This window comes from Homo sapiens, chromosome 4, assembly GCF_000001405.40.
Source record: "Homo sapiens chromosome 4, GRCh38.p14 Primary Assembly".
Taxonomy (NCBI): Eukaryota; Metazoa; Chordata; class Mammalia; order Primates; family Hominidae; genus Homo; species Homo sapiens.
This window is the reverse complement of record NC_000004.12, coordinates 3,987,791-4,008,769: the sequence shown is the minus strand read 5'-3', so window position 1 is coordinate 4,008,769 and position 20,979 is coordinate 3,987,791. Positions and strand designations below refer to the sequence as shown.

The 20,979-nt window shown below is 46.9% G+C and overlaps 1 long non-coding RNA gene across 1 annotated transcript; it reads right to left on the bottom strand.

Annotated features, from left to right (window-relative positions):
- Positions 1–2,165: 2,165 nt before the first annotated feature.
- On the bottom strand, positions 2,166–20,198 carry LOC105374359 (uncharacterized). Its single transcript, XR_925070.3, has 3 exons — positions 20,162–20,198; positions 9,550–9,656; positions 2,166–2,375 (listed from the first exon to the last, which is right to left on the bottom strand). It is a non-coding gene; the product is annotated as an uncharacterized LOC105374359 (long non-coding RNA).
- Positions 20,199–20,979: the final 781 nt, after the last annotated feature.

Below are 20,979 nucleotides of genomic sequence, written 5' to 3'. Positions count from 1 at the left end.
CATTTTCATAAATATGTGGGTGTTGCCCCCTGGAGGTATGTAATGCACAACTTGCACAAATGGTAAGTCATCGTATCCCAAAGTCCACCAAGAAGAGGTAAACAAAATTCCCATCGATGTTGCCATCAGTCATGAGTCTGCCTTTTCTTCATGGGACAGTAGCAAAAACAATTTGGCCAAGTGTGCTTGGATGATCTCTAAGATGGAATCAGGGTCTCTCAGTTTCAGCACTATTGACATTTGGGGCTGGATCATTATTCTGTCTTAGTGGGAGTTGTCGGGGCATTGTAGGATGTTTAGTAGCATCCCTGGCCTCTACCCACTAGATGCCAAGAGCACCACCTCCTCCAGCCGCAACAACCAAAACTGTCTCCAGACATGGCCACATGTTCTCTGGGGGGCAAAATCACCCCCTGGCTGAGAAGCCCTGAAGTAAAGACATAATACACAGATCACATGTATGTAAGAGAGCCTAAGGGCCACACAGGTGATGCTGTACCCCTGACAAAGACAGAGTCTTCAAGAGGTTAGAGAGGTGGAGAAAGAGAAAGGAAATGAAGTCCCAGCTGCTGAGAGCAACAGATGCTGACTAGATGTTGTTGATAGTCATCTTTAAACTGAGTTAAAAGATGCTGAGAAGCCATCAGCTCCCATCCTGCTCTCCAGGGACAACGCTGCTGAAAAAGGCCTGGAGATCAACAAAGCCCCAAACACAGCTGCACTGAGCAAAGAAACCAGAGATTGAGACAAAATGACATTCCCTCAAAGACTACTCATTTCCAAGAGGGGAGAAAAAGTGGAGTCATGAAAAACAGTTGAGGCTGCATAGAGTGACTCACACCTGTAATCCCAGCACTTTGGGATTACTCCCAGGCTTAGTCAGGAAGATTGCTTGTGCTCAGGAGTTCAAAACCAGCCTGGGCAACACAGCAAGACCTTGCCTCTAGAAAAAGGGAAAAAATTAACCAGGTGTGGTGATACATGCCTGTGGTCTCAGCTACTCGGGAGGCTGAGGTGGGAGGATCGCTTGAACCCAGGAGGTAGAGGCTGCAGTGAGCCAGGATCACACCACTGCACTCCAGCCTGGGCTACAGAGTGAGATCCCGTCTCAACAAAGAAAAAAATTAAACAACATTAAGGCCGGGCACGATGGCTCATGCCTGTAATCCCAGCACTTTGGGAGGCCAAGGTGGGCAGATCACGAGGTCAGGAGATCGAGACCATCCTGACAGAGTGAAGCCCCATCTGTACTAAAAATACAAACAATTAGCCGGACATGGTGGTGGGTGCCTATAGTCCCAGCTACTCTGGAGGCTGAGGCAGAAGAATGGAGTGAACTCGGGAGGTGGAGCTTGCAGTGAGCCAAGATCATGCCACTGCACTCCAGTCTGGGCAAAAGAGCAAGACTCCATTTCAAAAAAAAGAAAATTAAAAAATTTTTTGAGACCTAGTCTCACTCTGTCGTCCAGGCTGGAGTGTAATGGTGCGATCTCGGCTCACTGCAACCTCCGCCTCCTGGGTTCAAGTGACTCTCATGCCTCAACCTCGTGCCTCAACATGACTACAGGCATGTTGTCACCATGCCTGGCTAATTTTTGCATTTTTAGTAGAGATGGGGTTTCACCATGTTGTCCAGGATGGTCTTGAACTCCTAGGTTCAAGCAATCTACCCACCTCAGCCTCCCAAAATGCTGAGATTACAGGCATGAGCCACCGTGCCCGACCTCTAACTTTTCATTATGGAAATTTCCCATACGCACAAAAAGCAGGGAGAGAATTGCACCATGAACCCCCATGCACCCATCATCCCACTGTGAGTACTTGTCAACATTTCGCCAATCTCATTCCAGTTCCCGCTTTTCTTTTCCTTCTTGCTATTTTAGGATATTTTAAAGCAAATTCCAGACATTTCATTTCACCCACATCCATAACACACCAGGGTGCATTCTTGATGTAAGGATTTTGTTTTGTTTTATAACACCCATGACATTGGCACAGTTAATTGATTTAACATGAAGAAACTAAGATTCTTGCAGGTGGAGAAAAGATCTAATTACCACCTTAAAGCCTCTCCTACCAGCGCTTCTCAGATCTGAACGTGTACGCAAATCACCTGGGCATCTTGTTAAAATGCAGATTCTGGCCCAGCACGTCCTCCCGGGTGAGCCCTGAGAGTCTTCAATTCCAAAAGCTCACAGGTGACGCAATGCTGCGGGTCCATGAATCACACAAGAGGAAGGGTCGGCCAAACACCCAAAACAACTGGGTACAAAGTCCTGACTGTTCCCGACTGCAGGGCCTTCAGTGAACGGGGAAGCTGGGGACCATTTGGGAAAGAAGGGAGGTTTTTCGTATCAGCTCCAGGCCCTGTAGAACTGCCAGGGAATAACAGACACAAGGTCAGCAAAGTTCAACCAACAGCATGAGTGCATTCATATTCCACAAACACTGCAGCAAAGAACCATGAAATGGGTGGCTTCAAACAAAGTCTGGGCCTGGTGCTGTGGCTCACACCTAAATAATCTCAGCACTTTGGGAGGCTGAGGTGGGTGGATCACTTGAGGCCAGGAATTCAAGACCAGCCTGGCCAATATGGCAAAACCTCATCTCTACTAAAAATACAAAAAGTAGCCATGCATGGTGGCACACACCTGTAGCCCAGCTACTTGGGAGGCAGAGGCTAGAGAATGGCTTGAGCCCGGGAGGTGGAGGTTGCAGTGAACCGAGATCGTGCAACTGCACTACAGACTGGGCAACAGAGCAAGGCTCTGTCTAAAAAAAAAAAAGAAAAAAAATGTCTGGAGGCCAGAAGTCCAAAATCAATCAAATGTCAGCAGGACCATGCTCCTTCAGAGGTTCTAGGGGAGAATCCATTCCTTGCCTCTTCCAGCTTGTAGAGGCTATCAGAATTCCTCAACTTGTGGCCGCATGATCCAATCTCTGCCTCTGTGATCACCTTGCCTCCTCCTCTTCTCTTCTGTCTCGGTCTCCTCCTCTGGAGAAGAGTGCCAGGCCTCTGAGCCCAAACTAAGCCATCATATCCCCTGTGACCTGCATGTACACATCCAGATGGCCAGTTCCTGCCTTAACTGATGACATTGTCTTGTGAAATTCCTTCTCCTTGCTCATCCTGGCTCAAAAGCTCCCCTTCTGAGCACCTTGCGACCCCCCACTCCTGCCTGCCAGAGAACAACCCCCCTTTTTCCTTTACCTTCCCAAATCATATAAAATGGCCCCACCCCATCTCCCTTCACTCACTCTTTTCGGACTCAGCCCACATGCACCCAGGTGAAATAAACAGCTTTATTGCTCAAACAAACCCTGTTTGGTGGTCTCTTCACACACACCCATGTGAAATTTGGTGCTGTGACTCGGATGTGGGGGGGACCTCCCTTGGGAGATCAATCCCCTGTCCTCCTGCTCTTTGCTCTGTGAGAAAGATCCACCTACGACCTCAGGTCCTCAGACTGACCAGCCCAAGAAACATCTCACCAATTTCAAATCCAGTAAGCGGCTTCTTTTTACTCTCTTCTCCAACCTCCCTCACTATCCCTCAACCTCTTTCTCCTTTCAATCTTGGCGCCACACTTCAATCTCTCCCTTCTCTTAATTTCAATTCCTTTCATTTTCTGGTAGAGACAAAGGAGACACGTTTTATCCGTGGAGCCAAAATTCCGGCCTGGTGTCAGACCACGCAGGGACGCCTGCCTTGGTCCTTCACCCTTAGTGGCAAGTCCCGCTTTTCTGGGGGAGGGACAGGAGACCCTCTTATCTCTGTGCCCTGATCCCTTATTTCCGTGCCCCAAACTCTTATCTCTGTGCCCCGATCCTTTATTTCCATGCCCCGAACTCTTATCTCTGTGACCCTATCCCTTATTTCCGTGACCGGACCTCTTATCTCTGCACCCCAACCCCTTATTTCTGTGCTCTGACCTCTTAGCTCTGCACTACAACCCTTTATTTCTGCACCCCAACCCCTTTCTCGCTTTTCTGGAAGGCAAGAACCCCCCCACCCCTTATCTCTGTGTCTCTACTCTCTCTTTTCCCTAGGCTTGCCTCCTTCACTATGGGCAAGTTTCTGCCCTCCATTCCCCCTTCTTCTCCCTTAGCCTGTGTTCTTAAAAACCTAAAACCTCTTCAACTCACACCTGACCTAAAACCTAAATGCCTTATTTTCTTCCACAATGCCTCTTGACCCCAATACAAACTCGACAGTAGTTCCAAATAGCCAGAAAATGAGACTTTCAATTTTTCCATCCTACAAGATCTAGATATTTCTTGTAGTAAAATGGGCAAACGGTCTGAGGGGACTGACGTCCAGGCATTCTTTTACACGTCGGTCCCTCCCTAGTCTGTTCCTAGTGCAACTCATCCCAAATCTTCCTTCTTTCCATCCCACCTGTCCCCTCAGTCCCAACCTCAAGCGTCACTGAGTCTTTCTAATCTTCCTTTTCTGAAGACTAATCTGACCTCTCCCCTCCTCGCCAGGCTGAGCTAGGCCCCAATGCTTCCTCAGCCTCCACTCCTCCACCCTATAATCCTTTTATCACCTCCCCTCCTCACACCAGCTCCAGCTTACAGTTTAGTTCCATGACTAGCCCTCCTCGACCTGCCCAGCCATTTCCTCTTAATAAGGTGGCTGGAGCTAAAGGCACAGTCAAGGTTAATGCTCCTTTTTCTTTATCCCAAATCAGATAGCATTTAGGCTCTTTTTCATCAAATATAAAAATCCACCCCAGTTCATGGCTCGTTTGGCAGCAACCCTGAGATGCTTTACAGCCCTAGACCCTGAAAGGTCAACAGGCCGTCTTATTCTCATCTACATTGTATTACCCAATCTGCTCCCGACATTAAATAAAGCTCTGAAAATTAGATACTGGCCCTCAAACCCCACAACGGGACTTAATTAACCTCGCCTTCAAGGTGTACAATAATAGAGTAGAGGCAGCCAAGAAGCAACATATTTCTGAGTTGTAATTCTTTGCCTCCACTGTGAGACAAACCCCAGCCACATCTCCAGCACACAAGAACTTCCAAACGCTGAAAGCGCAGTGGCCAGGCGTTCCTCCAGAACCGCCTCCCCCAGGAGCTTGCTACAAGTGCCAGAAAGCTGGCCACCAGGCCAAGGAATGCCCACAGCCTGGGATTCCTCCTAAGCCATGTCCCATCTGTGCAGGACCCCACTAGAAATTGGACTGTTCAACTCACCTGGCAGCCACTCCCAGAGCCCCTGGAACTCCGGCCCAAGGCTCTCTGACTGACTCCTTCCCAGATCTTCTTGGCTTAGCAGCTGAAGACTGACACTGCCTGATCGATCACTTCGGAAGCCTACAGGACCATCACAGACGCTCTACCTAACTCTCACAGTGGAGGGTAAGTCCATCCCCTTCTTAGTCAATACGGAGGCTCCCCACTCCACATTACCTTCTTTTCAAGGGCCTGTTTCCCTTGCCTCCATAACTGTTGTGGGTATTGACGGCCAGGCTTCTAAACCTCTTAAAACTCCCCAACTCTGGTGCCAACTTAGACAATACTCTTTTAAGCACTCCTTTTAGTTATCTCCACCTGCCCAGTTCCCTTATTAGGCCGAGACACTTTAACTAAATTATCTGCTTCCCTGACTATTCCTGGACTATAGCTACATCTCATTGCCACCCACCTTAACCCACAAGTAGAAGATACCTCTACTCCCTCCTTGGCGACCGACCATGCACCCCTTACCATCTCATTAAAACCTAATCACCCTTAACCCGCTCAATGCCAATATCACATCCCACAGCATGCTTTGAAAGGACTAAAGCCTGTTATCACTCGCCTGCTACAGCATGGCTTTTTAAAGCCTATAAACTCTCCTTACAATTCCCCCATTTTACCTGTCCTAAAACCAGACAAGCCTTACAAGTTAGTTCAGGATCTATGCCTTATCAACCAAATTGTTTTGCCTATCCACCCCAAGGTGCCAAACGCATATACTCTCCTATCCTCAATTCCTCCCTCCACAACCCATTATTCTGTTCTGGATCTCAAACCTGCTTTCTTTACTATTCCTTTGCACCCTTCATCCCAGCCTCTCTTCACTTTCACTTGGACTGACCCTGACACCCATCAGGCTCAGCAAATTACCTGGGCTGTACTGACGCCAAGCTTCACAGACAGCCCCCATTACTTCACTCAAGCCCAAATTTCTCCCTTATCTGTTACCTATCTCAGCATAATTCTCATAAGAACACACGTGCTCTCCCTGACGATCGTGTCCGACTAATCTCTCAAACCCCAACCCCAGCTACAGAACAACAACTCCTTTCCTTCCTGGGCATGGTTGGATACTTTTACCTTTAGATACCTGGTTTTGCCATCCTAACAAAACCATTATATAAACTCAAAAAAGTAAACCTAGCTGACCCCATAGATCTTAAATCCTTTCCCCACCCCTCTTTCTGTTCCTTGAAGACAGCTTTAAAGACTGCCCCCACCCTAGCTCTCCCTGACTCATCCCCACCCTTTTCATTACACACAACCGAAGTGCAGCGCTGTGCAGTCGAAATTCTTACACAAGGACCAGGATTGCCTCCTGTAGCCTTTTTGTCCAAACAACTTGACCTTACTGTTTTAGGCTGGCCATTATGTCTCCATGCAGTGGCTGCTGCTGCCCTAATACTTTTAGAGGTCCTTAAAATCACAAACCATGCTCAACTCACTCTCTACAGTTCTCATAATTTCCAAAATCTATTTTCTTCCTCACACCTGATGCATATACTTTCTGCTCCCCGGCTCCTTCAGCTGTACTCACTCTTTGTTAAGTCTCCCATAAGTACCATTGTTCCTGGCCCGGACTTCAATCCGGCCTCCCACATTATTCCTGATACCACGCCTGACCCTCATGACTGTATCTCTCTGATCCACCTGATGTTCTCGCCATTTCCCCACATTTCCTTCTTCCCTGTTTCTCATCCTGATCACACTTAGTTTATTGATGTCAGTTCCACCAGGCCTAATCGCCACACACCAGCAAAGGCAGGCTATGCTATAGTACAAGCCACTAGCCCGCCTCTTAGAAACTCTTATTTCCTTTCCATTGTGGAAATCTATCCTCAAAGAAATAACTTCTCAGTGTTCCATCTGCTATTCTACTACTCCTCAGGGATTATTCAGGCCCCCTCCCTTCTCTACACATTAAGCTCAGGGATTTGCCCCCACCCAGGACTGACATATTAGCTTTACTCAACGTGCCCCGAGTCAGGAAACTAAAATACCTCTTGGTCTAGGTAGACACTTTCACTGGATAGGTAGAGTCCTTTCCCACAGGGTCTAAGAAGGCCACCACGGTCATTTCTTCCCTTCTATCAGACATAATTCCTCAGTTTGGCCTTCCCACCTCTATACAGTCCAATGGTAGACCGGCCTTTATTAGTCAAATCAGCCAAGCATTGTTTCAGGCTCTTAGTATTCAGTGAAATCTTTATATCCCTTACAGTTCTCAGTCTTCAGGAAAGTAGAACAGACTAATGGTCTTTTAAAAACACACCTCACCAAGCTCAGCCACCAACTAAAAAAGGACTGAACAATACTTTTAGCACTTTCCCTTCTCAGAAGTCAGGCCTGTCCTTGGAATGCTACAAGGTACAGCCCATTTGAGCTCCTATATAGACGCTCCTTTTTATTAGGCCCCAGTCTCATTCCAGACACCAGACCAACTTGGACTGTGCCCCAAAAAACTTGTCATCCCTACTATCTTCTGTCTAGTCATACTCCTATTCATCGTTCTCAACAACTCATACATGTCCTGCTCTTGTTACACTGCTGGTTTACACTGTTTCTCCAAGCCATCACAGCTGATATCTACTGTTACTATCCCCAAACCGCCACTCTTAACTCTTAAATACATAATCTTTGCTGGCAAGGCTATGCTGAACTTCCTTAGGCACTCTCTAATTAGATGTCCTAGGTCCTCCCAATTCTTAGTCCTTTAATACCTGTTTTTCTCCTTCTCTTATTCTGTTTAGTTTTTCAATTCATACAAAACTGTATCCAGGCCATCACCAATAATTCTAAATGACAAATGTTTCTTCTAACAACCCAACAATATCACCCCTTACCACAAAATCTTCCTTCAGCTTAATCTCTCCCACTCTAGGTTCCCATGCTGCCCCTAATCCCGCTCAAAGCAGCCCTGAGAAACATCGCCCATTATCTCTCCATACCACCCCCAAAAATTTTCGCCGTCCCAACACTTTACCACTATTTCGTTTTATTTTTCTTATTAATATAAGAAGACAGGAACGTCAAGCCTCTGAGACCAAGCTAAGCCATCATATCCCTTGTGACCTGCACGTACACATCCAGATGACAGGTTCCTGCCTTAACTGATGACATTCCACCACAAAATAGATGAAAATGGCCTGTTCCTGCCTTAACTGATGACATTATCTTGTGAAATTCCTTATCCTGGCTCATCCTGGCTCAAAAGCTCCCCTACTGAGTATCTTGTGACCCCCACTCCTGCCTGCCACAGAACAACCCCTTTTTCCTTTGCCTACCCAAATCTTATAAAACAGCCCCACCCCATCTCCCTTCGCTGACTCTCTTTTTTGGGCTCAGCCTGCCTGCACCCAGGTGAAATACACAGCTTTATTGCTCACACAAATCCTGTTTGGTGGTCTCTTCACACGGATGCACATGAAAAAGAGTGTTCTTCTTTTTTTTTTTTTTTGAGATGGATTTTCACTCTTGTTGCCCAGGCTGGAGTGCAATGGCATGATCTCAGCTCACTGCCTCCTCCTCCTCCTGGGTTCAAGCAACTCTCCTCCCTCAGCCTCCCCAGTAGCTGGGATGGCAGGCACGCGCCACCATGCCCGGCTAATTTTGTATTTTTAGTAGAGATGGGGTTTCTCCATGTTGGTCAGGCTGGTCTCAAAGTCCTGACCTCAGATGATCCACCCGCCTCGGCCTACCAAAGTGCTGGGATTACAGGCATGAGCCACTGTGCCCCGACAAAAGTGTCCTCTTATAAGGACACTTGTCATTAGATGTACAGCCTACCTAAAATACTCCAGGTTAATCTCATCTCAAGATCCTTAACTTAATTACATCTGCAAAGACCCTTTTTCCAAATAATGCCACCTCCACGGATTCTAGGCACAAGGATCTGGATATATCTCGTGCAAAGCCACCATTCAGCTCACTACACTAGAAAGAGGAAAAACAACGAAGTAACAAAAGGTGCAGAAGAAAGAACAGATGCAGCTTGTGTGGCAGTGGCCATCAAGGCAGGCTGGGGTAAAACTGTGTCAACAGAACCCCCTGATGGAACTCAAGTGCGGCCGTCTGCTCCCAGCTACTCACAGAGAACCTTTCTGTTTCTGACAGCAGAGTAAGAGAAGAGGTGGGAAGAGAGATAGCCCATTCTCTGTTGGCCTAATTCCTAAGGAATCATGCCTCTGCCTTCGGGTCACTCTCTAGTCTTGTTCAAGGATAAAATGATTTATTGATGGCCGTAATTATAAAGCAATGCCAACAGAAGCAGCGTCAGCATTTTTCATTTGTACTTACACATGAGCGAGAGCAGTTTAGGGAAACGGGTGCCTTCAGGTTCTGTTTTCTCCATCTAGAAAAGGGCTGCCTTCGTGGAATGCTGGTCCTGGGGAGAAGCCTCATTTCTATAGCAGGAATTGACATAGTTTTAAATTCCGATTGGTACACGGAGCTACCCGTCCTCATTTCAAGCACTTCTGGTTTGTTCTGGGTTCAGTGGGTGAGCAATGAGGAGAACTCTGGGGAGGAGGATTTGGAGTGAGCGTGGTTTTGATACCCAGAGAGAGCTGTTTTTCCATCAGTGTCTTGAATGTGATTCAGAATGGGCTTCTCCGCTCAAGATGGGAGTACTGGGCTGATTTAAGGCGGATGATTGACTTGTTTTGGTGGCTCTTTTTATACTAGCTGGTTAACGAGCTAGTTTCTTCATTAGTTTCAGGCATGTGAGCTTAATGAAGCATTGGACCTCCCAAATTACAAGGAAAATACACATATAGCTTATATGGTAGGTTCGAAGGAGTTAGTGAACAAACACAGTAGGGCCACAAATTATTGTTAAAGACATGAATGCATGAAAGTGTATCTATGTCCAAATGGACTCTCTGCAACCATACTGTTCCACCTGAAAACTAGTAGATAGAAATTCAGCAAATGCTTGGACAGGGGATACTCTCAGAAGTATTCTGACTAAATAGCATGGTTTCTTTTCATATCACTAAAGTAATTTCTTCCCAAATTGACTCTGGACTAAATCTTATGATACCTACTTGTTCTGATTATACTTAGTCACCTGCAAATAAGGTGGGGGCAGTGGTAAGAGGAGCTGTTGAATGAAATTAAACATTTGTTGAATGCCTACTGAGGATAAAGCCCTGTGCTTTGTGCCAGGAAGATTCCAGAATAAATGAGGCACAGACCTACTCTCAGGAAGCTTTTGCAAACTAATGGAGAAAACACATCTGCAGGCAATGACTTATGGTATAAGAGGAAATGGGGCCAGGTACGGTGACTCACACCTGTAATCCCAGCACTTTGGGAGGCCAAGGTAGGTGGATCACTTGAGGTCAGCAGTTCAAGACCAACCTGGCCAACATGGCGAAACCCTGTTTCTACTAAAAATACAAAAAAAAAAAAAAATGAGCCAGGCTTGATGGTGTGCACCTGCAATCCCAGCTACTTCGGAGGCTGAGGCAAAAGAATCACTTAAACCTGGGAGGTGGAGACTATAGTGAGCCGAGATCCCACCACTGCACTTCAGCCTAGGAGAGAGAGTGAGACTCTGTCAAAAAAAAAAAAAAAAAAAGGAAATAAGATTGATGTTGAATGGGAAATCTAAGCAGGATGGAATGACAGGAGAGCGCCCACTTGCCCAGCTCCAATAACACTTTTGACAGCCATGACGATATTGCAGGGACGCCCATTCCTCATGGTGTCTGAAGCCCCATGAAGGCTTGTGTCTGGAGGCTGCTTCAGTCTTGACTTTAAGATCAGGGGATACAAGGAATGATTTTCATCTATCCCAAGCCAATAGTCCAGCCAAAAATCTAGCTCTGAGATGATGAGAAAAAGCAAGTCATGAACCATGTCAGCCATTTCATCATCATCATCATCATCATCATCATCATCATCAAAAATAAAAAGCAGACCTGTAACCGTCTTGTGTGCCTGGCTCTTGTCTTAATTCAAAATATAGAAGTAAATTCTATGGCCAGTGAACAATGACCAAAATAGGTCTCATCACTCTTGTCTGCCACCATGTAAGATGTGCCTTTTGCCTTCCACCATGATTTTGAGGCTTCTTCAGCCACATGGAACTGTGAGCCCATTAAACCTCTTTTTCTTTAAAAATTACCGTCTTGAGTAATAAAAGAGTGGTTTGTCCACAACATTAATGAACGATGCTGTCACCTGTTCCAAACGCCTATCGTTTAAGAGGTTTGGAAAAACAACAACCTAAAATAAATAAGCACTAACCAAACTCATGGCTACATAATCCCTGTGGTGAGGTAACTGACAATGGATACAACTGGGACAGTTTACTGTTAAATCACCTCTATCTACATGTGCCCAAGCAGTGAGATACTTGGTTTTAATCCTAAAAAATCACAGTGCACATTTACTCCTGCCTTCCAACTGGGCTCTAACGTCACCTCCTCAGAGAAGCCCGCTTTTCTGTGCTTCCACTCTGCTTTTTTTCAGCATTTAGTAGAGCATCAGTCACCATCCATATCAGGGAACAATGATTGTAAGTAACAGAAACCCATTTGCATGAGCTGGAGGGAAAGGAGCACACCTTATCTCTAATAGGCAAACTCATGGGCACAAGAAACAAATGAGAGGCCATGAGAGAATGGAAACTGCAGTTACAGAAACCAAAATGCCTCTTTCTGGCTCTCAGAAGCCCACGGTCTCTTTTTTTTTTTTTTTTTTTTTGAGACGCAATCTTGCTCTGTCGCCCAGGCTGGAGTGCAGTCGTGCTATCTCAGCTCACTGCAAGCTCTACCTCCCAGGGTTCACGCTGTTCTCCCACCTCAGCCTCCCAATTAGCTGGGACTACAGGCACCCGCCACCACACCTGGCTAATTTTTTGTATTTTTAGTAGAGATGGGGTTTCACCGTGTGAGCCAGGATGGTCTCGATCTCCTGACCTCGTGATCCACCCGTCTTGGCCTCCCAAAGTGCTGCGATTACAGGCATGAGCCACCACTCCCGGCAGCCCTTGGTCTTTCTTATCAGCCCTGTGGACTTTCTTATCTCTGTTTCTCTCACTCACTACCAATTTTCCCTTTTTGCTGGCGGCCCATCATGGCAGCCAGCAGAACCCACCACCAGCTGATCAGTCTGTTACTGGATATCTTGGAGAGGGAGGGAGGGAGGGAGGGAGAGAGGGAGAGGGAGAGAGAGAGAGAGACAGAGAGAGAGTGATAATTGGGCTTCTGGACAACCAATTGAGTATAGGGAGGGGAAGTACCATGGTACAAATATGGCACCAAGACCTGCTTTCTAGCATGGCCAATGAGTAGGGAAATTGAGGGAAGGTAACTGCAAAGACAGCAGACATCTCAGAACATGCTCTCTGTTCTTAGTTCTCTCTCCTGCCTTCTCCTAGATTTTAAATATCACAAGACAATCTAGAATAGTACCTGGCTCAAAATATTTGAGAAAGAGAAAAAGGAAGGGATTGGATCAAACTCTGGACTTCATGGTTTCCTGAATTCACTCTGCAAGTTTTTGGGTTGTTTTTTGAGACGGAATCTCACTCTGCTGCCCAGACTGGAGTGCATTGGCATAATCTTGGCTCACTGCAACCTCCACCTCCCAGGTTCAAGCAAATCCCCTGCCTCAGCCTCCTGAGTAGCTGGGATTACAGGCACGCGCTGCTACACCAGTTAATTTTTGTATTTTTAGTAGAGATGGGGTTTCACCATGTTGGCCAGGCTGGTCTCGAACTCTTGACCTCGGTTCCACCCACCTTGGCCTCCCAAAGTGCTGGGATTACAGGTGTGAGCCACCACACCTGGCTGACTCTGCAAGTATTTAAGTGAATGAATGTAAGTCCCTGAGAATCAGAAGAAAGGCATTAAATCTCCGTTAGGTTTAATCCTGGTCAGCAGCTGTGGGGTGTCCTGGGTTTGGGATCAGTGGGATGAGGAACAAGCAGGTTCTCCAAATCACCACTCAGGGAGGGGAGGTGTTAACTAGGCCAAAGATGACAGGTGGGTATGTGCCTGGATTTCAAACAGCTTATGCCAGTCCTAAAAACTGACGCTGAGGCAGAAACTGTATTAAGCAAATTGATGACACAATGGAGGGGGTCAAAAAGTTTAATATTGCTAAGAAGAATACAAATACTGATCATGCAATATGTTATGGCTATCACGCCATCTCCTGCTACACGCCAGGTTTCCTTTACCATGAGATAGAAGAGATTTGTGGATCTGACCTAACCCTCCAAATTGTAAGGTCCCTGAGAGTGGTCTCATGACATTCATGTTTTATAAATGTGGCATAAAGGCTCACGCTGGCTGCCATGTGGCCCAATGCCAGTTTGATGCTGCATTCAAAGAACCATCATTCCAGCATCCAAGCATACTGAAAGGCAATTGAAATGTTTACCGACGTCCCTCAAGACAAACACCAAAGAAAAATTATTTTCATAATGCATAGCAACACTTCTTAAAATCTTATTTTCCCATTTCTTTCCCTCTCTCTACCACATTCCCAAGAGTTTCCCAGGAATAAAACTATCATAAAGACCCAGGAGCAAAATGATTAATGACTTCACTATATCTGATTCTAATTTAGTTGGTTTAGAGTGGTGTCCGGGCATACGTATTTTTTAATATCTTGCTAGGCACAGTGGCACACACCTGTAGCCTCAGCTCTCAGGAGGCTGAGGCAGAAGAATCACTTGAGCCCGGGAGTTTGAGTCCAGCCTGGGCAACATAGCAAGACCCTGTCTCTGAAAAAAAAAAAAAAAAAAAGCGGAAACAAATCTCTCTCAGCTGCAGTCAGGGTTGATAACTAGTTGATCAAATAATTGTGGTAGCCATCCTTCACAATAGACCTTAATATTCCCACCTCCTGGTGTTATTCATTGTGGAATCTGTCTTAGCTAGTCCTCAATTGGGTCTGGTATCCTGGCCCCACCTTGAGAGGCTAGTCCCACCTCCTACCCCACACAAGGTTTTACACTTACTTTCAAGACTGGCCTAAAAATGTAAAATGTACTTGTTTTGACCTTGTTTCCAATAAAACAACTATTCTAAACATTCATTTAGGATGGTTAGGGAAATTTGAACGCCGGCTAAATATTAGAAGATGTTTGCTTCAAAATAACCCAGCTTGGTAATGAGATGATGGCGGCTGAGGCTGGTGATAGGCACAGAGGGCTTCATTATCAAATAGAAACAAGTGGAAAAAACAGAATTTGTCCATAATACAAATGTAAGGTAAACACAAAAATGTATTGAGTGCATAAAAAGAATCTATGGTCTCACAGGCATTAGCTTATAATTTGAACATCAAAAATAAAAGTGACGGCCAGGTGCAGTGGCTGATGCCTGTAATCCCAGCACTTTGGGAGACCGATGTGGGTGGATCACTTGAGCCCAGGAATTTGAGACCAGCCTGAGCAACATAGGGAGACCCCCATCTCTAAAATAAATAAATATAAATAAAAGTGACTAGAATTGATTATAGAACATCAACTCGATTTGAGTCTATAAAGATTCCTGGTGAAGGGGGGCAATGGGGAGAAGGAGAAAGAGAATATATTTGTGACCTAGATTATTTTCCTTAGTTTTGAGAGAATGTTCGGGTCTCCTGGGTCTTCTAGCCCAGTATTTATTTTTATTTTTTATTTATTTATTTATTATTTTTTTTAGATGGAGTCTCACTCTGCCACCAGACTGGAGTGCAGTGGTGCGATCTCGGGCCACTGCAACTTCCGTCTCCCAGGATCAATCTATTCTCCTGTCTCAGCCCCCCAAGTGGCTAGGACTACAGGTACCTGCCACTTCACCCAGATAATTTTTTTTTTTTTTTTTGAGACCGAGTCTGGCTCTGTTGCCCAGGCTGCGGTGCAGTGGTGCAATCTCGGCTCACTGCAAGCTCCACCTCCCAGGTTCATGCCATTCTCCTCCCTCAGCCTCCCGAGTAGTTGGGACTAAAGGCACCTGCCACCACGCCCGGCTAATTTTTTTGTATTTTTAGTAGAGGCAGGGTTTCACCGTGTTAGCCAGGATGGTCTCGATCTCCTGACCTCATGATCTGCCCGCCTCAGCCTACCAAAGTAGGCATTACTGTAATCAAGGATTACAGGCATGAGCCACTGTGCCCAGCCGCACCCAGCTAATTTTTGTATTTTTTGTAGAGATGGTGTTTCACCATGTTGATCAAGGCTGGTCTCGAACTCCTGATCTCAGGTGATCCGCCCGCCTTGGCATCCCAAAATACAAGGATTACAGGCATGAGCCACCACACCCTGCCTATTTTCCTTAGTTTTCAGAGAACCTTTGTGTCCCCTGGGTGTTCTAGCCCAGTATATCTCAAACTTTGCTGCACCGAGGACCTTGTTGAAATGCAGGTTCTCATCTGGGAGGCTCAGTGGGCCAGCAAATCTGCATTGGTTTAGGAAGCTCACCCTGAGTATCAAGCTTCAGTGAGGACCAGGCAGTCCCCTGCCTGCCAACCCCCTCTCAGCTGGGCTTAACTCTCGCTCTCTCCTGCCAGGGTTCCTCCCCTCAAAATAGGAGCTATTTTCAAAAAGTCTCTTGGAAAAAAAGCCCTGTTTTAAAATTGGGGTGTTCAGGATTGGCCATCTGCTCACCATGGGGTTTTAAGACCTTTGCCCAGACCCCTGCAACCAACTTAGAACTGACCTCTTTACTCTTGAAGGCCCGACTCCACACCATATTAAATTCATTAAAATCCACCCCCATTACAGGCATATCTCAGGCATCACGCCCTCAGAACGGAGTTGCAGCTGATCCCTTGACAGTGTTGTAAAGCATTAAACATGCGTTCATTTCAGCCTTGCAGTTTGCACATTTAGCAGCCAATTGTCTTGGGTCTAAAGCATTCATGTCCAAGCATTGTTATGGGCCCCAGACACTATGCTTCCCAGCCTCAATGGCCTCTGCAATGCTGGTTCCTACTGCCCCACCCCTGGGTTCTGGCCGGCTAGCCCGCGCCACCTCACTGCTCCCCCATTCAAGTGTGCCTTAAATGTGTGGTTTCCAAACTCATCTACACTTTAGGGTCACCTGGGATTTTTTTTTAAGTCTTCCAAAACCCAGGCCACACCGAAGAACAATTGAACCCTAACCTCCGGAATGGGACATAGCATCCGTTTTTTGTTTTGTTTTGTTTTTGAGACAGGGCCTCGCTCTGTTACCCAGGCTGGAGTGCAGTGGCACAATCATAGCTCACTACAGCCTCCAACTCCTGGGCTCAAGCAACACTACCACTTCAACCTCCACGGTAGCTGGGATCACAGGCGGGCACCACCACGCCTGGCTAATTTTTAAATTTTTTATAGAGACAGTATCTCCCTATGTTCTCCAGGCTCGTCTCAAACTCCTGAGCTCAAGCGATACTCCCGCCTCAGCCTCCCAAACTGCTGGGATTATAGGCATGAGCCACCATGCCTGGACATCAGCATCTGTATTTTTTGAAGCACAGATGAGTTTGGGAACTACCGCCCTAGACTGAGCTCGGTTTCCTAGCCCTGTCTGACCGTAGGATTCGGCTGGGCTGCTTCTGAAAACAGAGCTCCCCAGGCTTCTTCCCAGGTAATTCTGATTCATTAGGTCTGGGTTGGGCCCCGGAATGTGCGTTTTTTATGAGATCCCTCTGGATGAATCAGGCTAAAGCCAGTTTGGGATCTGAGACCTTGGAGATCATTCCCCAGCCTCCCTCCTAACCCAGTTCCCAGCTTGGCCCACCTCACCCAGGCTGTGTCACCTCTGACTTCGTAGATTACACCTGAGAGGGAAGCCCCAGCCATCACAATGTGAGAATATTTTACAATGACCAGGATATGCCAAATACATTTTAAAACTCATTCAGGATTAGCGTTCACCTTAAACTTGACAGACTCTGAGAACGGGCTGGCCACGTGCTGTGCACAACCCTTAGTGCTCTTCTGTGACTAATATTTGGATAATTGATAGTTGGAAGCTCAGGAAGCCTCTCTCTCTCTCCGAGGGGTCGAAGTTAACTTCCTTATTTCTGAGGTAGGGAAGAAAATGAGGATGTTCTGCCTTTTGCCAGACTGAATACTGTCCTCCAAAAATTCACATTCACCAGGAATCCCAGAATGTGGCCTTATTAGAAAATAGGGGCAAGACATGGTGGCTCATGCTTGTAGTCTTAACACTTTGGGAGGCTGAGGCAGGAGGATCACTTGAGGTCAGGAGTTCAAGACCAGCCTGGCTAGCATGGCAAAACCCTGTCTCTACTAAAAACACAAACATTAGCTAGGCATGGTGGCATGCACCTGTAATCCCAGCTACTTTGGAGGCTGAGGCTGAAGAATCACTTGAACCCAGGAGGCAGAGTTGCAGCGAGCTGAGATTGTGTCACTGAACTCCAGCCTGGGCAACAGAGCAAGGCTCCATCTCAAAAAAAAAGAAAAGAAAATAGGGTCACTGCAGATCTAATTACAAAGAGGTCATATTGGAATAGCGTGGACCTTAAATCCAGTAATAATGGCATCCTCATGGAAAGATAAGAAGAGACAGAGACACACAGGGGAGAAGGCCACGTGAGAATGAAGGAAGAGAATGGAATGATGTGGCCACAAGCCAAGGATTGCCAGCAACCACCAGAAGCCAGAAGAGGCAAGGAAGGATTCATCCCTAGAGCCTTCAGAGGGAGCACGGCCCTGCCCGTTTCAGACACCAAGCTTCTGGAACTGGAGAGAATGACTTTCTGTTGTCCTGAGCCACCCATTTGGGGAACTTTGTTAGAACAGTCACAGCCAGCTCATGTGCTCCTGAATGCATCTCAGGCATTAATAAGCACTGTCTTGGCCAGTCAGGGTGGCTCACCCCTGTAATCCCAGCACTTTGGGAGGCAGAGGTGGGTAGATCACCTGAGGTCAGGAGTTCGAGACCAACCTGACCAACATGGAGAAACCCCATCTCTACTAAAAATACAAAAATTAGATGGGCGTGGTGTTGTGCACCTGTAATCCCAGCTACTTGGGAGGCTGAGGCAAGAGAATCACTTGAACCCTGGAGGCAGAAGTTGCAGTGAGCCGAGATTGCGCCATTGCACTCCAGCCTGGGCAACAAGAGCGAAACTCTGTCTCAAAAAAAAATAATAAGTACTGTCTTGACTGTGGTCATCAAAAATATTTGATGAAGGGTTAGCTAGAAAGCCTGACCCTTTCACAGATGGACGGAAGGGCCAAAAGAAAATAGATTGTTTGCAGTGGGGCAAGAAGGATAAGAATCCTATGGAAAGAAAAACAGAGGGATTTGTTTAGTGAGCGCTGGGGAGAGACATTTGTTTTCTTGCTTAAAAAAGAAACACAGGTGGGGTGCGGTGGCTCAAGCCTTAATCCCAGCACTCTCGGAGGCCAAGGTGGGTGGATCACCTAAGGTCAGGGGTTTGAGACCAGCCTGGCCAACAACATGAAACCCCATCTCTACTAAAAAGACAAAAACAAAAGAAAGAAAGAAATTAGCCAGACATGGTGGTGAGCGCCTGTAATCCCAGCTACTCGTGTGGCTGAGGCAGAGAACCACTTGAACCTGGGAGGCAGAGGTTGCAGTAAGCCAAGATGGCATCGTTGCACTCCAGCCTAGGAAACAAGAGTGAAACTCTGTCTCAAACAAAAAAAAGAAAGAAAGAAAGAAAAAAAAAACATAGTTTTAAGTCCACTCAGTGGAGTTTAAAAATACATTCTCGTTGCACAGTGCTTTTGGAATCTTTTCTAAACTTCTGTTGCACATGATCTAATTTGATCTTCATAGCAACTCCCTGAGGTGGATAGGGCAGGCCTTTCTGAACACCAATTTTCTACTTTGCATTAAAAGAACGGAATTGGCTGGGACCAGTGGCTCATGCCTATAATCCCAGCACTTTGTGATACAGAAGGGAAGTGCTCGGAAGGGAAGAATGTGGTCCCTTTAAATGATATGGAAGTGAGGAAGGGAAGTACTGGGTAGAGGAGGGTGTGGTCCCTGGCTAGGGCTTCACCACAGGGCCTGTGCCCATGGACCTAGGTGAGGACAGGGATTTTTGTTTTCCCGCCCAAATGTTGCATTTCCCAAGACCACCCTGGCTGCCACACCCCCATTCTGTGCCTATAAAAACCCTGAGACCCTAGCAGGCAGACACACAGGCAGCTGGACTTCGAGAGGAGCACATCAGCGGAGGAACACAAGGGCGCTGGACATCAAGAGGAACGCACCAATGGGCACCGGCACACCGCAGGCCACTGACTGCAGAACAACGCAGTTTGGCTGGGACAGTCAGAGAAGAGTCAGGCCACTCGCCCGAATCCAGGGGTAAACCACCTCCCTTCTGGCTCCCCCATCTGCTGAGAGATACTTCCACTCAATAAAACCTTGCGCTCTCACGCCTGTAATTCCAGCACTTTGGGAGGCCGAGGCGGGCAGATCACGAGGTCAGGAGATCCAGACCATCCTGGCTAACACAGTGAAACCCCATCTCTACTAAAAATACAAAAAAATTAGCCGGGCGTGGTGGTGGGTGCCTGGAGTCCCAGCTACTCGGGAGGCTGAGGCAGGAGAATGGCATGAACCCGGAAGGCGGAGCTTGCAGTGAGCTGAGATTGCACCACTTTCGGTACACCAAGGCAAGAACCCCAGGACAAAGAGAGCCCTCTGTCCTTGCAATAAGGCGGAGGTCTAATTGAGCCGACTAACACAAGCTACCTACAGATGGCTAAACTAAAAGAACACCCTGTAACACACGCCCACTGGTGCTTCAACTATAAACATTCACCCCTGGACACTGCCATGGGGCTCGCTGCCTGTCTGCATGCTCCCCTAGAGGTTTGAGCAATGGGGCACTGAAGACCCCATCTCTACAAAAAAAAAATAAGTAAACAAAAAAAAACCATTAAAAATTAGCCAGCTGTGGTGGCACACACCTGTAGTCTCAGCTACTCAGGAGGCTGATGCGGAAGGATTGCTTGAGCCCAGGAGGTTGAGGCTGCAGTGAGCCAAGATTGAACCACTGCACTCCAGCCTGGGCGACAGAATGACACCCTGTTTCGACAACAACAAAAAGAATGGAACAAAATCACTTCTCAAATAGCTAGCAGAGGCAGATCTGGTTCTCAAATGCAGGTTTTCCAGGTTTCAATTCTTGTTTCTAGCAGTATTACGGAGAAACATGATCACTAATACATAAAGGAGAGGAGGATTCAAGTTCTGATGAAAAGATGGTAAAGAGAGGAGTTAGTTGACTAGGAGTGACTAGGAATGGGAAGAAAACGCATGACACTACTTACAGGAAAGAAAAGTAAGCATAGAGGTGACTGAGCGGACAGAAAGGACTTGGGAGAAGCGTGTTTGTCCCCGTCTCTGCATTTTTTACCTTGCTTTAGTAACTTCCCTGATGACTTGGATGAATCTTCTCTTCCAGGGCACCTAGTGTTCCCTTTCTGTCCACTTCTCCTTTCCCAGGGCCCATACAGTCTGGGAAAGCATGCTCTGCAGGCTTCTCATATCTTTCCTTCCTTAATCAGCCCCTAGCGTCTCTACATAACCCATATACACCTGGAGTTCCACATGTCCCAGTCTTTGCACTGCAATGAATTCAAAGAAAGGTAGGCTCTAGCTGGGTGCAGGGGCTCACACCTGTAATCCCAGCACTTTGGGAGGCTGAGGCAGGCGGATCACTTGAGCCCAGGAGTTCAAGACCAGGCCTGGCCAACATGGTGAAACCCCATCTCAACTAAAAATA